Source organism: Homo sapiens, chromosome 14, assembly GCF_000001405.40.
Source record: "Homo sapiens chromosome 14, GRCh38.p14 Primary Assembly".
NCBI classification, from domain to species: domain Eukaryota; kingdom Metazoa; phylum Chordata; class Mammalia; order Primates; family Hominidae; genus Homo; species Homo sapiens.
In genome coordinates this window covers 67,818,642-67,835,699 of record NC_000014.9, presented here as the reverse complement: position 1 = coordinate 67,835,699, position 17,058 = coordinate 67,818,642, and the positions used below count along the sequence as shown (strand labels likewise).

The 17,058-nt window shown below is 40.4% G+C and overlaps 1 protein-coding gene across 12 annotated transcripts in view, besides 2 other annotated features; it reads right to left on the bottom strand.

The window, feature by feature from the left end:
* RAD51B (RAD51 paralog B) overlaps positions 1 to 15,921 on the bottom strand; it is an 863,318-nt gene extending 847,397 nt beyond the window's left edge. For 10 of the 12 annotated variants that reach the window (NM_001321818.2, NM_001321809.2, NM_001321821.2 and 7 more), the window contains exons 1-4: positions 15,847 to 15,921; positions 12,073 to 12,158; positions 10,123 to 10,236; positions 504 to 620 (exon numbers count right to left, since the gene is read on the bottom strand). In NM_001321818.2, the coding sequence (NP_001308747.1) occupies positions 504 to 620; positions 10,123 to 10,236; positions 12,073 to 12,156 (315 nt within the window). In that variant the 5' untranslated portion in view covers positions 12,157 to 12,158; positions 15,847 to 15,921. Of the gene's footprint in view, positions 1 to 503; positions 621 to 10,122; positions 10,237 to 12,072; positions 12,160 to 15,846 lie in introns of those variants that run through there. The other 2 variants (NM_001321812.1, NM_001321815.1) reach the window with 2 other exon arrangements.
* Positions 14,773 to 15,534: an enhancer, noted in NCBI's record as "NANOG-H3K27ac hESC enhancer chr14:68286883-68287644 (GRCh37/hg19 assembly coordinates)". NCBI's record gives its function as "activates a minimal SCP1, AML or CMV promoter by ChIP-STARR-seq in naive H9 embryonic stem cells {active_cell/tissue: H9 hESC(naive)}" and the evidence as "EXISTENCE:reporter gene assay evidence [ECO:0000049][PMID:30033119]".
* Positions 15,794 to 16,088: an enhancer, noted in NCBI's record as "tiled region #13811; HepG2 Activating DNase unmatched - State 1:Tss, and K562 Activating DNase unmatched - State 1:Tss". NCBI's record gives its function as "activates a minimal TATA promoter and a strong SV40 promoter by Sharpr-MPRA in HepG2 and K562 cells {active_cell/tissue: HepG2 | K562}" and the evidence as "EXISTENCE:reporter gene assay evidence [ECO:0000049][PMID:27701403]".

Genomic DNA, 17,058 nt, shown 5'->3' with positions numbered 1-17,058 from the left:
TATTTTTTTTTTGGTAAAGACAGGGTCTTGCCTTGTTGCTCAAAGTGCTGGGATTACAGGCATGATATAATCATATATATAAAATATATAATGTTATTTATGTGCATACATATTACATATATGACATATGTGTATATATTACATATATGTGACGTGTGTACATATAAATGTATGTATGCATGTATGTATATATAACATATATGTATGCATTATATATATAACACATATATAAACACACCCAGCAATATTTATCACTTTCTAAGTTAACTCAATGAAACAGCAACCTAAGTAGATTTTAATCAGTCAGCAAGGATTTTGTTTTTAACACCTCTGTTTGCAGAACAACCACACTAAGTACTGAGTGGAGAACCATATCCTTGAAGTACTTATAATTTAATTCAGATTACCGTTCCAGAAATAATTTATGTTTTTTAACTAAACTTTTTCCCTAGCTCTGAAGGTTATAGGTCAATGGAAGAAGGTACGAAAAATTTTTCCTTTACCTCTGTGAGGGATCCACAAGCCACACCACCATGCAGGGCTTCGTCCAAAGCAGAAAGGGTAGTAGATAAGAATGCTGGTGAGAAATCAGCAGACCTTTGTGCTTTTATCCCATAAGCCTAAACAAGAAAATGATTAAGTTTTTTTTCAACCTCTATATATATTCAAAAACATAAACCAACTTTAATTCTCTAAATTTTAGCAATTTTAACCCTAATCCATCCTTTTCCCTTCTATTATTTATTTGTTCAACAAATATTTACTCTGTGCCAGGGACTGTGCTAGATTATGGGGATATGACATAACAGAAAGAGAGAGACGTTGCCCTCACAGTCTTATGAAGTCAACCAGGGACTATGAAATTAGGACTAGAAACCAGGCAATTACAACACAATTAATAAGAGATATTGTAATAGGGAAAGTATAACTGATACAGATTTTGGAAACTTAATGGAATTGCTGGATGCCCGTGCTAAAATCTGAAAGAGCTGTTAGGTAAGCAAAGGAAATTTGACTATTCCTGCCAAAGAGGACAGAATGTACAAAGAAAGGTCAAGAAGCAAGAGAGGAAACAGGGACTAACACAAACTGTAAATATACAGTTCATTTAGAATGGTTGAAAGATGGAGTGTGGGTGTAGCACAGCAAGCAATGAGGCTAGAGAAGTAAGCAGGGGCCTAACCATAAACAGCTCTGTTGAAGATGCAAAAAGGAGTGACATGAACAAGTTATTTCAAACTTGGGTTCGTTTGTGAAGAACAGTGTGAAGGAAGGTGTGGTAGGCTGAGAAATGACCCCCCACCCCCACCCCTGGATATCCAAATCAAATCTCCAGAACCTGTCTGTGAATATTACCTTATTTGCAAAATGGGTGTTTGCAGATGTGATTAAGTTAAAGCTCTTGAGATGAAGGGATAATCATGGATTATCCAGATGGACCCTAAATACCCACACTAATAAGAGAGGCAGAGGGAATTCAATACACACAGGAAAAGGTTATGTGAAGATGGTATAGAGAGAGAAGCAGCCACAAGCCAAGGAATGTTAATGGCCACCAAAAGCTGAAAGAGGCAAGGAACGGATAATCCCCTAGAACCTCTGGAGAGAATGCAGCTCTGCCTACACCTTAATTTTGAACCTCTGAACTCCAAAACTGTAAGAGAATAAATTTCTGTTGTCTGAAGCCACCCAGGGTGTGATTTGTATTAGAACTGCCACAGGAAACTAATACAACAAATTATAATTTCAAAGACATACTCAGATTAGTTTGTGAAGAACAGCTTGAAGCTGGGAGATCTGTCAGGAAGACGTTACAGTCATTCCAAAGAAAAATAATGGTAGCTAGAAGAAGGTAATAGTAGTGGGGATAAAAACTTTTGGTACTAGCAACTATATCTAAACCCAGGTACACAGTACAACAGTCCCCCTTATCCACGGTTTCACTTCCCATGTTTCAGTTACCCCTGGTCAACATTGATCTGAAAATATTAAATGGATAATTCCAGAAATAATTCATAAGTTTTAAATTGCACACAGGTCTGAGTAGCATGGTGAAATCTCACATCATCCCACCTGGATGTGAATCATCCCTTTGCCAAGTGTATACACACTGTAGACACTCCCTGCCCATTAGTCAGTATCTCAGTTATCATCTCAGTTATCAGATCCAAAAAACATAGTATACATAGAGTTTAGTACTATCCAAATTTTCAAACATCCACTGAGGGTCTTGAAACATATTCCCTGTGAACAAGGGGAGAAACACTACATATCTGAAGTTTTTCCAATATAATACAATTCTGAAATTCTCCTTTTTTTTGTTCAAGACAGAGTCTCACTCTGTCACCCAGGCTGGAGTGCAGTGATGCGATCTCAGCTCACTACAACCTCCACTTCCTGGGTTCAAGCAATTCTCCTGCCTCAGCCTCCCAAGTAACTGGGATTACAGGTGCCTGCCACCAGACCCGGCTAATTTTTGTATTTTTAGTAGAGACGGGGTTTTGCCATGTTGGCCAGGCTGGTCTCGAACTCCTGCCCTCAAGTGACCTGACCACTTCGGCCTCCCAAAGTGCTGGGATTACAGGTGTGAGCCACTGCACCTGGCCCGAAATTCTCCTTTCTTATCCTTGGTGTTGTGTTTGTCCACAAGAAATTATACAAAGAATTCTGGTGATTTCATTTGTTGGTTTTGATCATTCTGATGTATTTAGAACTACAAAAGTTAATACTCTATAAGGAAAATTGTTTTTTTAATTACTTTTATTAATCTTCTGGGATATTAAAATTTTACCTGATTTTTAAAAGATGTTTATTTTCTAATGTTCCTTTTATTCTTTTAAGGGCTTTTGACAACCTCCCTTTGTTAATGGTCTGCTTTACATTTCAGTTTAGTTTTGCCTGCTCCAGGGCACTGTCCAGTCACTATGCTAGGATATGGAGCAAATAACATCAGCTCCTCTTAGATATTGCTGTGATTCAGGAATCATGAACAGTAAGGAAAAGGCAAGGACAGGAAGCTAATGAACATCTGTTGCACATCTACTATGTGCTGTATTAAGTACTTTACATACATTATTTCATTTACACACAGGTATAATTATCTCCATTTCGCAAATGGTAAAAAAACTGAGACTAAGAGAATTGCCAGATATTACTGCAAGGGGACAAACAAGAACTGTTGCTGCTTTTTTCCTAAAGAACATAACATACCTAAAGCAAATTTGGAATGAAAAAAAAAGTTAAAGAAAACAGAACAGTAAAAAATTCCACAATCCTGAGATAACCATTATTAACAATATACACCAAATACCTTTATAACGGTCATTTTTATAAAATTGGCATGTATACTATATACAATTTTGTAGCCTGCTTTTTTCACTAACCATTTATATCCTGTGCATTTCTCCTGTTATTAAAAATTATTGGCTGGGCATGATGGCTCATGCCTGTAATCCCAGCACTTTGGGAGGCTAAGGCAGGAGGATCACTTGCAGCCAGGATTTCAAGACCAGCCTGGGCATCATAGCAAGACCTTGCCTCTGTAAAAATCAATAAACAAACAAATATTTTTTAAAGATTTTAGTGCCTACATAATATTCCCTAACATAAATGTAATATAATTTATCTCCTTCCTATTATTATTGTTTCCAATTTTTTGATATAAGAAATATTTCAGTCGGCATCCTTACGTAGACATTTTTTTCTATAACCTATCATCAGGCAACGTGGATGCATGTGGGGATACTTTCTCAAACATGCAAAGGCAGCCCAATCTGTCAAAATTAAAGCACTTCACTTACAATTTTAAGTGTAATTTCTAGAATAATAGATTCGGTAAGTCAAAAAAAGAATAATCAGCTGGGTGTGGTGGCTCACGCCTGTAATCCCAGCATTTTGGGAGGCCGAGGCCGGCGTATCACCTGAGGTCCGGAGTTCCAGACCAGGCTGACAAACATGGAGAAACCCCATCTCTACTAAAAATACAAAAAAAAAAAATTAGCTGGGCATGGTAGCACATGCCTGTAATCCCAGCTACTCAGGGGGCTGAGGCAGGATCATCACTTGAACCCGGGAGGCGGAGGTTGCGGTGAGCCAAGATCACGCCACTGCACTCCAGCCTGGGCAACAAGAGCAAAACTCCATCTCAAAAAAAGGAATAAAATGAACTAACAGAACAAAACTTCAGAAAAGTAGTATGTATATAAATGAGACAAAGAAGAGTTTTGTGATATGACACTACCAATTTTTCTTCTACTTCGGTGGCTGCTTCTTCTCAGACTCATTATCATCTAATCTGACCTGTAACTGTTGGCATCACTCAGGTTTCAGGCTTAAGTACACTTATCGTCTTACTGTATGCACTTTATAGGCAATCACTCATCCATTCTGATAGCTTTAACTATCATATTTACACCAATGACTCCCACGTGCATGCCTCGCCTTCAAAGTCCAGGTCCATATATTTAACTGCCTATTTCCCATCTTCACTAAATGTTTTATAAACATCTTAAATTAGACAAGTACTGGCCGGGGGCGGTGGTTCACGCCTGTAATCCCGGCACTTTGGGAGGCTGAGGCAGGTGGATCACCTGAGGTCACGAGTTCGAGACCAGCCTGGCCAACATGCTGAAACCGTCTCTACTAAAAATATAAAAAATTAACCGGGCATAGTGGTGGGTGCCTGTAATCCCAGCTACTCGGGAGGCTAACGCAGGAGAATCACTTGAACGTGGGAGCCTGGGCCGAGATCTCACCATTGCACTCCAGCCTGGGTGACAAGAGCGAAACTCCATCTCAAAAAAAAAAAAATTACACAAGTACTAAATTGAATCTATGATCTGCCTCCCTCAAACCTGCTCCTCTTCCAGTATTCCTGATCTCAGGAAATGGTACCACTCAGTTTCTCAAAGCAAAAGTCAGAGAATCATCTCTGACATTTTCCTATACTTCACCACCACCTCAGCCAAACAATCACCAAATCCCATTAATTCTCTCTCCTAGGCTCAGCACAGTGGCTCACATCTGTAATCCCAGCACACTGGGAGGCTGAGGTGGGTGGATTGCTTGAGGCCAGCAGTTTGAGACCAGCCTGGACAATGGCAAAACCCCATCTCTACTAAAAATACAAAAATTAGCCAGGTGTGATGGTGCATGTCTGTAGTCCCAGCTACTGAGGAGGCTTAGGCACAAGAATTGCTGGAACCCAGAAGGCAGAGATTGCAGTGAGCCAAGATCGCACCACTGCACTCCAGCCTGGGCAACAGTGCGAGACTCTGTCTCAAAAAAAAACAAAAATTATCCCTCCTAAATATCTGTCATATTAATCAACACTATAACCTCTGCATTAATAATATAAGTCACCATCACTTTTTGTTTGGAATACAGTAATAGGTACCTAACTAATCTTCGTGAATATTTTATTGCTCCTTTTCAATCACTTGTCCATGTCCAAGACTGATTTTTTTTAAAACACATATTACAGTATACCCTTTTATGAGTTTCCATTGCTCTTGGAATAAAGTCCAAATCAAAGCCCTAATAATCTGACTCCTGCTTACTTCTCTGGCTTCATCTCTTACCACTCTCTTCTTCGTTGTTATGACCCACTCACGCAAGCCCCATTCTCCTTCACTTCCCAGGGCCTTTGCATCTGTTATACCCAACGCCCAATAACTCTTCCCTGCCCATCTCCCTTCCCAGCTCCTTTGCCTATCTCTCACCTATTCATCTTTCATGTTTTAGCTAAAGTATTGCTTCCTTGCAAGGGTCCTCCTGACCCCCAAACTAAGTAATCCCTATTATAAAGTTTCAAAGTACCTTATGCTTTTCCTTCATAGGATTTAGCACTATTATAATTAACTAATTATTTCTGAATTAATATTTTAATGTCTGGCTTCCCCCACTAGACTGTAAACTACAAGAGGGCTGGACTGTATAAACTTGTTCACCATGATAGCCTTGGTGCCTGACAAAGTACCTAATACATGCTTGACATTCAGTAAATACAGGTCAAAAGAATAAATGACTGAATAAATGAGCAAAAAAAATTTCCTGAAGAAATGAACTAAAACTAAGCCAATGCACCAACAACAGGCAAGCAGAGAGCCAAATTATGAATGAACTCCATTCACAATTGCTACAAAGAAAATAAAATACTGGGCCGGGCACAGTGGCTCACGCCTGTAATCCCAGCACTTTGGGAGGCCGAGGCGGGCGGATCATGAGGTCAGGAGATCGAGACCATCCTGGCTAACATGGTGAAACCCCGTCTCTACTAAAAATACAAAAACTTAGCCAGGCGTGGAGGTGGGCATCTGTAGTCCCAGCTACTTGGGAGGCTGAGGCAGGAGAATGGCGTGAACCCAGGAGGCAGAGCTTGCAGTGAGCCAAGATTGTGCCACTGCACTCCAGCCTCGGCGACAGAGCAAGACTCTGTCTCAAAAAAAAAAAAGAAAGAAAGAAAAGAAAATACCTAGCAATAAATATAGCTAACAAGGGATGTGAAGGACCTCTTCAAGCAGAACTACAAACCACTGCTCCAAGAAATCAGAGAGGACACAAACAAATGGAAAAACATTCTATGCTCATGGATAGGAAGAATCAATATCATGAAAATGGCCATATTGCCCAAAGTAATTTATAGATTCAATGCTATTCCCATTAAACTACCATTCACATTCTTCACAGAATTTTAAAAAGCTATTTTAAAATTCATATGAAACCAAAAAGGAGCCTGTATAGCCAAGACAATCCAAAGCAAAAAGAATGAAGCTGCAGGCATCATGCTATCCAACTTCAAACTATACTACAAGACTCTAGTAACCAAAACAGTATGGTACTGATACAAAAACAGACACATAGACCAATGGAACAGAAGAACTCAGAAATAAGACCGCACACCTACAACCATCTTATCTTCAACAAACCTGATAAAAACAAGCAATGGGGAAAGGATTGCCTATTTAACAAATGATGCTGGGAGAACTGACTAGCCATATGAGGAAACTGAAACTGGACCCCTTCCTTACACTTTACACAAAAATTGACTCAAAATGGATTAAAGACTTGAATGTAAAATCCAAAACTATAGGAAAAAAAACAAAACCTTGAAGAAAATCTAGGCAATACCATTCAGAACATAGGCACAAGCAAAGATATCATGACAAAAATGCCAAAAGTAATTGGAACAAAAGCAAAATTGACAAGTGGGATCTAATTAAACTAAAGAGCTTCTGCATAGCAAAAGAAACTATCATGGTAGAAAATGGGAGAAAATTTTTTCAATCTATCCATCCGACAAAGGTCTAATATCCAGACTCTATAAGGAACTTAAACAAATTTACAAGAAAAAAAAAACCAAACAACCCCATTAAAAAGTGGGCTAAGAACATGAACAGATACTTTTCAAAAGAAGACATTCATGCAGCCAACAAACATAGAAAAAAAAAGCTCAACATCACTGATCATTAGAGAAATGCACATCAAAATCACAATGAGATACCATCTCACACCAATCAGAATGGCAATTACTAAAAAGTCAAGAAACAACAGATGCTGGTGAGGTTGCAGACTAATAGGAATGCTTTTACACTGTTGGTGGGAGTGTAAATTAATTCAACCATCGTGGAAGACAGTGTGGCAATTCCTCAAAGACCTAGAGGCAGAAATACCATTTGAACCAGCAATGCCGTTACCAGGTATATACCCAAAGGAATACAAATCATTCTATTATAAATATACATGCACACATATGTTCATTGCAGCACTATTCACAATAGCAAAGACATGAAATCAACCCAAATGCCCATCAATGATAGACTGAATAAAGAAAATGTGGTACGTATACACAATGGAATACTGTGCAGCCATAAAAAGGAATGAGATTATGTCCTTTGCAGGGGCATGGATGGAGTTGGAAGCCATCATCCTCAGCAAACTAATGCAAGAACAGAAAACCAAAAACTGTGTGTTCTCACTTATAAGTGGGAGCTGAACGATGAGAACACATGGACACATGGACACACGGAAGGGAACAACACACATTGGGGCCTGTTGCGAGGTTGTGGGGGAGAGGGAGAGCTTCAGGAAGAATAGCTAATGGACGCTGAGCTTAATACCTAGGTGATAGGATGATCCATACAGCAAACCACCATGGCACACATTTACCTATGTAACAAACCTGCACATCCTGCACATGTACCCCGGAACTTACAATAAAAGTTGGAAAAAAAAAAAACTAAGCCAGTGTTTAGGGCAGTGCTGAAATATAAGGAATGCTACAAGAATGAATGTAAACCATAGGAGAAAGATGGTTTCTTGAACTGTATTTGGAATTGTATTAAGATGGCAGCTGAAGGTAGTGATGGAAGTAGAAATTAAAGTTGAATTTCGGGACCATGCTCTCTATTTATTAACGGGAAATATGCCATGGATATTGACTAATTAGAATGACAGATGACAAATTAAAGGTTTTTCTGGTGCTTTACAACCTTCAAAATAATAACAAGTTAATTTGAATCTAGTCACAGAATCATTGCATAGTATTTTAACTTCTGTTTTCTCCCATAAAAGAAAGCTGTTCAAGCAATGAAATCAATGATAAAGCTAAGACTAATGCCAGTTTCTAACTCCAGTTCTGATTCTCCTTCTGACTATCCTGTCTTTAAAATATTTTCCTCAGATCACAAGCTAAATCTGAACAAAAGAAAATATCTGTTGTTTGGCCAGGCACAGTGGCTGATGTAATCCCAGCACTTGGGGAGGCCGAGGCGGGAGGATCACTTGAGCTCATAAGTTCAAGAACAGTCTAGGCTATGTGGCAAAACCCCATCTCTACAAAAAACACAAAACGTAGTTGGGCATGGTGGTGTGCACCTGTAGTCCCAGCCACTCGGGAGGCTGCGGTGGGAGGATGGCTTGAGCCCAGGAGGCGGAGGCTGCACTGAGCCGAGATCACACCACCGTACTCCAGCCAGAGAAATAGAGACAGACCTCATCTCAAAAAAAAAAAAAAGAAAGAAAATATCTGTTGTTCAAATATCTGTTCATTGTTTTTAGAAGTTTCCAGTGACACTAACATTCCTTCCTTCTCCCCTTCTTCAGAGAATTGTACTTCATTGTTCAGTGTTCAGTAAATTTCAATATAAGGCAGTAAGGTAAGAAACTTACAGTCCACATAAATAAATACATTTGCAAAGCACCGAACAGAATTTTAGGAAACTCTTACTGTGAGAAAACAAGATATTTCTATCATGCTCCAAATCTACATTTTGAAAAGCTACAGTCATGACACAAAAAGTCTGAAAAAATGTACAATTTGATGAGGGCTTTTGTAAAAGACTTCAAATTTTCTTAAGAGTAAAGGATAAATTTTTAATTACCTTTTATTCAATCAATAAGCAACTACAAGTACAATTATGTGTACTTTATGATCTAGAGCAAGTGATGATGGTAAAGGTCAGTATATCAAAGAAAGGGGCATTCTAAAATTAAGATTATAATTTAACTATGAGGCCATCAAATACTACCTAATCAATCAGAGAAAGATGACCTTTTGAACTACTGCTATTGGCTATAGAAAAAAAAATAAAAACTTTCTGTTGCTCCCTAATTCCCATATTTAGAAATTGTCTCCCATGAGTTTATAAACTACATAAATTTTTCACACATAGGCTAGGCACGGTGGCTCACGCCTGTAATCCCAGGACTTTGGGAGGTCGACGCAAGCAGATCACTTGAGGTCAGAAGTTTGAGACCAGCCTGGCCAATAAGGTGAAATCCCATCTCTACTAATAATATAAAAATAAGTTGGCTTGGTAGCACCGTGCCTGTAATCCCAGCTACTCAGGAGGCTGAGGCAGGAGAATCGCTTGAACCCAGGAGGCAGAGGCTACAGTGAGCCGAGATCGTGCAACTGCCCTCCAGCCTGGGCAACAGAGCGTCTCAAAAAAGAAAAAAAAAATTTTCACATGTATTTTCCTTAGAGAACTAACTTCTATAGTAGAAAACTCAGTATTTTTGAGGTACTCATCTCTATTTCTGCATGTGCCTCATCCCTAAAAAAACATGTTTAATGAGATGAGGAATCATTCATAATCAAATCATAATAAAATATAAATATACCGTTTGCATCTTTGGGGCACAGGCCCTGCTGACCATACATAGAAGTTCATGGACACCTCGATAACTCAGACCAGTCACCTTCATAAGCTCCAGTGGGGAAAGACATAAAAAGTCCTAAAGAAACATAAAGAGAGTATTTTAAACATATATGTGTAACAAAGATACTAGAGTTAAAAGGAAACCTTCAATTGATACTGCTTATGTAGACAAAAGTATAATTTATCGCAGATCAAAGATTTATACATTCATTGTAGTATTTTCCCCATAAATATGCCTTAACTAAAAGTTGTAATGACACAAACTTATCTTCTAATTATCCTGTTTAGTTGGCATATACCAGAGGATACACCAAATAATATCACATAGCACCAGCATCCAATCCAGGTGCGTATGAGCGCTACACTTGTGCCAAAAAGAATTTGGGTATAAATATATGCCCAGAAAGTGTCAGGTTGAAAGAGTTTCTTTCCTTTTTTTTTTTTTTTTTTTTTTTTTTTTTGAGACAAGAGTTTTGCTCTGTCGCCCAGGCTGGAGTGCAGTGGCACGATCTCGGCTCACTGCAACCTCCACCTCCTGGGTTCAAGCGATTCTTCTGCCTGAGACTCCTGAGTAGCTGGGACTACAGGCACTCACTACCATGCCTGGCTAATTTTTTTTATTTTTAGTAGAGACAAGAGTTCACCATATTGGCCAGGCTAGTCTCGAACTCCTGACCTCATGATCTGCCCACCTCGGCCTCCCAAAGTGCTGGGATTACAGGTGTGAGCCACCGTGCCCGGCCGAAAGAGTTTCTTTCTAAGCTAGAAGTTCACTCAGAGATAATATTTCGTAGTTGAAAAAGAATGAAACTGACTATAGGATGAAATAACAAATTTCATACTTTTAAGAATGTTTCCGAGTATAAATATGCAAATAATTAAATGTATAACAAAGGAACCGATGTTATCTTTAACACAGAAAGCAATTCAAAAAAAAAATTGCAGAATGCTCTGTGAAAATGTCTTATTAAAGATAAAATCAGGCCAGGCACGGTGGCTCATGTCTGTAATGCTAGCACTTTGGGAGGCTGAGGGAGGCGGATCACTTGAGATCAGGAATTTGAGACTAGCCTGGCCAACATGGTGAAACCCCGTTTCTACTAAAAATCCAAAAATTAGCTGGGTGTGGTGGCATGTGCCTGTAATCCCAGCTACTCAGGAGATGGAAGCAGGAGAATCACTTGAACCGGGGAGGAGGAGATTGCAGTGAGCCGATATGGCACCACTGTACTCCAGCCTGGGCAACAGAGTGAGACACTGACTCTAAACAAACAAACAAAAAAAGGATAAAATCCTAAGATAAAACCTTAAATCTAGCCAGGCACAGTGGTGTGTGCCTGTAATCCCAGCTAGCTGGGAGTTGAGGCTGGAGGATTGCTTAAGGCCAGGAGTTCAAGATCAGCTGGGGCAGCATGAGAACCTAGTCTCAAAAACAACAAAGAACAAAAACAACCAACCAAAACCTTTAAATCTTATTTACCCTGCTAAGGAGGATTTGCTTCACCACCTTGCTTAAAAATGCAAGATCCGCTCTATATATTTCTCATGCTCCATCAATAAGAAAATGGTCTATTAATTTCTTTTGCTTTTAAGAGAAATGATACATGTTGAATAGTATCTCCTCATTTGAGTCCTATTTCTCATGTAACTATAAAACAGTAAAGCTGTTACTTCACCTTATGCCGTGACCACTTTCCCCTCAAAATGCAAAAATACTAAATTTGGGTAAATGAAATAGCAGTTGGAAATGCACCCAAGGAGGCTTGATATTTACAATTAGCCTATGGAAAAGCACCATCATTTATCTTTTTTTTGTAAGCCTACATTTTCATATTTCAAGTTTAAGAGGTATTAAGGTATAAAGTTAACTTGTGCATAAAACTTATCAATAAAAATGTTAAATAAAATTTACCTGACAGGTAAGGATCTGATGTCTACTCAGACGGTCACACAGCTCTTGTGATAAACCCACTCGTTTTAGTTTCTTGCTACCCATGCCTCCAGATCCAGCAAAGAAAAGAAGAACCATGAAAAAAACAACAGAATATAACATAAGTGATAGTGAATAGGCTATCCAAAACAAAATTAAAAATTCCTCAAGTTTCTCCATATGCAAAATGAAACATATTGTGTTAAAAATATTACTGATAAAGGAATGCTATAGAACCTTTTTAAATGTTTTAAATAGGAGGGACAATTGTTCGTCAAACAGGCACATAGAAAATCTACAAGGCAACCTCAAATATAATTTCACACAATTAATTGATATTTACTACATGAATATAGTACCACTTCACATTTGTAGAGCATCTTAAAATGTTCAATGCATGTATAAATTTTATTTGGAAATGTAATTAACTTTCAAGGCATATTTCCAAACAGAACTACTAGAAAGTCTATTGCACTGTAACAATTTACATTGCACTGTAACGGCAATAGGTATATTTATGGAGCACCTACCACATACCAGGCACTGTTCCAAAACTTATCTAAATTATCACATTTAATCTTCTCAATAGCCCTAGAAGGAAAGTAGATTATTGGCCCCTTTTTTACATATGAGAAAACTAAAGCCTGGAAAAGTTAGCTAGTCCATTGTCACCAGAAAACATAAATAACTGATCCAGAATTTGAATCCAGGCAGTCTAATTCTGAAACCTATCCTCTTAACCATTACACTCTACTGCAAGTCCATAATCATATTTAACTCTTCCTTTTTCTAGGAGTCAGAGCACACCTTCTGAATCAAATGAGATTTTATCACTGCAGTATTAAAATGTTCTTTTTAAATATATATATAGAGAGAGAGAGAGAGAGCGAGACAGGTCTGGCTCTGTCACCCCAGCTGGAGTGCAGTGGCTCGATCTCAGCTCACTGCAACCTCCCCCTCCTGGGCTCAAGCAATCCTCCTACCTCAGCCTCCCAAGTAGCTGGGACCACAAGCGTGCACCACCATGTCTGGCTAATTTTTGTATTTTTTGTAGAGACAGGGTCGACACCATGCCTGCCCAATTTTTGTATTTTTTGTAGAGACAGGGTTTTGCCATGTTGCCCAAGCTGGTCTCGAACTCCTGGGCTCAAGTGATCCTCTCGCCTTGACCTCCTAAAGTGCTGGGATTACAGGCATGAGCGATCAGACCTGGCCCAAAATGTTCTTTATTACACTAGCTGCTTATATTCTCACATGCAGTTAAATTTCACTATTGTACCTTGCTAGGGGTAAATGAGGCTCATGAAAGATTTATCTTCACAGAGCTAAAAAAGAATTACTGTGAGTCTCTTAATGCATACAAAGGAGAAGCTGTATATCTCATTGAGATGGTAAAGAAGTATCCTCTGGAACGAACTGAAACAGGAACTCTTCATGGATCCAAGGAATAAAGCAATATAGTTATCAGAAAAGAAGTAACATTTTGGAATGAAAATATATGTATACTGAGAATGTATATATTTGTTTATTTCCAATACCATGGCCCAAATTTCTATTTAACACCTAAATTCTCTGAATCAGACTGAATCAATCTCTCTCTCTCACACACACACACACGCACACACAATATACATACATACACACCTCTCACAAACAAAAATACATCCTCCTCATTTCTCTCCATGGGAATTTGTTAGCAATGACTTGTTTCCCCCAGTAGAAAACCAAGTGATACCTGCTATAATATTGCCTAGTGTCTTTTCAGATCAGGTAGTTTCAAGTAATGACACCATTTAGACTGATAAATTCAATTTAAAAAAAAAAAGAAGGAGAAAGAAAAGAACCATAGGCCACACAAGGTAGCTCACGCCTACAATCCCAGCACTTTGGGAGGCTAAGGCAGGCAAATTGCTTGAGCCCAGGAGTTTGAGACCAGCCTGGGCAACATAGAGAGAACCTGTCTCCACAAAAAAATACAAAAATTAGCTGGGCATTGTGCCGCACACCTGTAGTAGTCCTAGCTACCCAGGAGGCTGAGATGAGAGGATCACCTGAGCCCAGGAGGTCGAGCCTGCAGTGAGCTGTGGTCATGCCACTGCACTCTAGCCTGGGGAACAGACTGAGACCCTATCAAAAACAAAAAACAAACAAACAAAAAACTATAAATTCTAAACTACAAGGACTTTAACAACAACCAATTCTGCCATTTCTGCCTTAATAGGGCCACTCCCATCACTTGCCTGGACTATTGCATATTGTTTCTGGCCACTCCATTCATTTGTTCCTTAATTTACTCCTTCCACAGGCATTTAAATACACACCCTGCTGAGGTCTGGGGTACAAGAATCATTTAAGCATATTCCCTCCCCTTTGAATACTCATAGTTGAGATGAAAAGAGAGGTACACACAAATAACTACAGCCATGCAGTAAGCATTACAATTGCTATTTAAAAGTGCTATGGAAGCAGACAGGAAGAAGCCCCAAATTCGCCTGCAAAAGTCAGATCAGTGTCACAATCCTGCCTTGAGTAGCTTCCTAAAAAGTCACGATTATCCTTTAACACTTCCCATGGGACTGGTAGACCACAGGATAAATTCCAAACTTCTTAGGGTCGCAGAGAAAAACATCAAAAATTGGTCCCTCACTTCCTTCTCACTCATACATCACATTGCAACGTTCAGTTCCTATCCTTCCTGGCAGTTACTTCACCTCTCAGTGTCTTAATTTCCTTAAAACCCTTGTTTTACAGTCATATGAATTTACTACTTCATATGACTGTAGTGGAGGTTAAAGGACTCGGGGAGTGCGTGGCACATAGTACTTAAGGTCAGCAATCATCATTTAATGACTCTCACATGATCTGCCCTCCAGCCACATGGTATGTGTATTGGTAGGTCACGCATCCTGTCTCCCTGACTTCCCTCCACAAAACCTTCCCCAGAGTCAAGTCTTTTCCTCTCCAATGTTCTCATCAACTTCGCACATATCTATTCGATAATCTTATCAAAATACTATTATGGCTTGCAAGTTTGTTTGCCCCCACCGGAGCACGTAAATTCCTGCGGTGTATGTGTGCGCGAAAGCACGTATGTGTATTGCACATGAGGGGAGACGGTCAACCCTGGAGAATGAACCCTGTCCTCCTTACCACCAAGAAAAGAAAATTCTTCATGTTAGATGTTCAACAACTGTTTAGGAACAATATTAGCTAATATTTATTGAGCCCTTATTACGTGCCACACTGTTCCAAAGGCTTCGGATATTTTACCTCACTTTACAGATAAGGATACTGAGGTAACTAGTTGAGAAACTTGGGCAAAGTTAAACAGCTGACAATTGGTGTGAAGCTCGCATTCGAATCCAGGGACCGGACTCCAGATTCCACGCTCTCCAACACCACCTGAAGTGGGAGAGTCCCTCAACTTCCCCTAATGACAGGCTGCCCGAAGCGGGAAGGGGCTGGGGAGGAAGATGGGCAGCAACAGGCGGAAACATCACCCAGAATCCCCTAAAAAGAGCTTTTTCCAACAATGAGCAGCTTCCAAGCATTCCCCACCAAAAGAAGGCCCGAAGCTCCCCCAATTCACAGCGGGGTTCTTAGTGACGATCCCGAGTCTTAAGGGGGCGTGACCAGCACCCAAGAGAAAATCTCCGCTCCCCCAATATCGAAACCCACGAGCCTAGGGAAGGAGCAGGAAATAATGAGCGAACCCCACTTCCCCACAACGGCACCCCACATGAAACTTTCCAGTACCGGGTCTGCAGCATCCAACTTTCAAGTTTCCCCACCCTTTACACAGTTTCCCCGCGGAAAACGCCGCAAAGCAACAACCGAAGCACTGATTGAGTCGTCATTCTGGCTACTGTATCCAATCAGAGGCCGGCAGAGGCCCAGGTTGGCTCCGCGGCTTGCTGGGAATTGTAGTTAATACTATGATCAGCCTAACAGATCGAATCTGAAGCAGTTTCTCAATATAGTGATTATCAAAATCTGTTGCAGGACCATCACCAAAGAGAATGTGAAACAAGGGAACACCCTGTTTGGAAATTTTTCTTTTTTCTTTCTTTTTTTTTTTTTTTGAGACGGGGTCTCGCTCTGTCGCCCAGGCTGGAGTGCAGTGGCGCGATCTCGGCTCACTGCAAGCTCCGCCTCCTGGGTTCACGCCATTCTCCTGCCTCAACCTCCCTAGTAGCTGGGACTACAGGCTCCCACCACCACGCCCGGCTAATTTTTTTGTATTTTTAGTAGAGACGGGGTTTCACCGTGTTAGCCAGGATGGTCTCGATTTCCTGACCTCGTGATCCGCCCGCTTCGGCCTCCCAAAGCGCTGGGATTACAGGCGTGATCCACCGCTCTCGGCCCTGGAAATCTTTTTTTTCGTGTATCATCACTTTTCACAATGGCTTAAAGGGGCCAGACGCAGTGGCTCACGCCCGTAATTTCAGCACTTTGGGAGACCGAGGCGGGAGGATCACTTGAGCCTGGGAGTTCGAGACTAGCCTTGGCAACATAGTGAGACACCCTCCCCCACCCCTCCGCCTCTACAAAAAAATACAAAAAATAGGCTGGGCGCGGTGGCTCATGCCTGTAATCCCAGCACTTTTGAAACTGCCCGATGGGTTCACCTTACCAGCTGCCTAGACAGAACCGATTTATCAGGACAGGGGAATTGCAATGCAGAAAGAGTAATTCACGCAGAGCCAGCTGTGCGGAAGACTGAAGTTTTATTGTTACTTAAATCAGTTGTCCCGAGCATTTGCGGATCGGAGTTTTTACCAATAATTTGGCTGGTAGGGGCTTAGGAAGTGGGGAGTGCTGATTGGTCAGGTTGGAGATGGAATCATAAGGGGTCGAAGTGAGGTTTTCTTAATGTCTTCTGTTCCTGGGTGTGATGGCAAAACTGGTTGCGCCAAATTACTGGTCTGAGTGGTGTCAGCTGATCCATGGAGTGCAGGGTCTACAAAA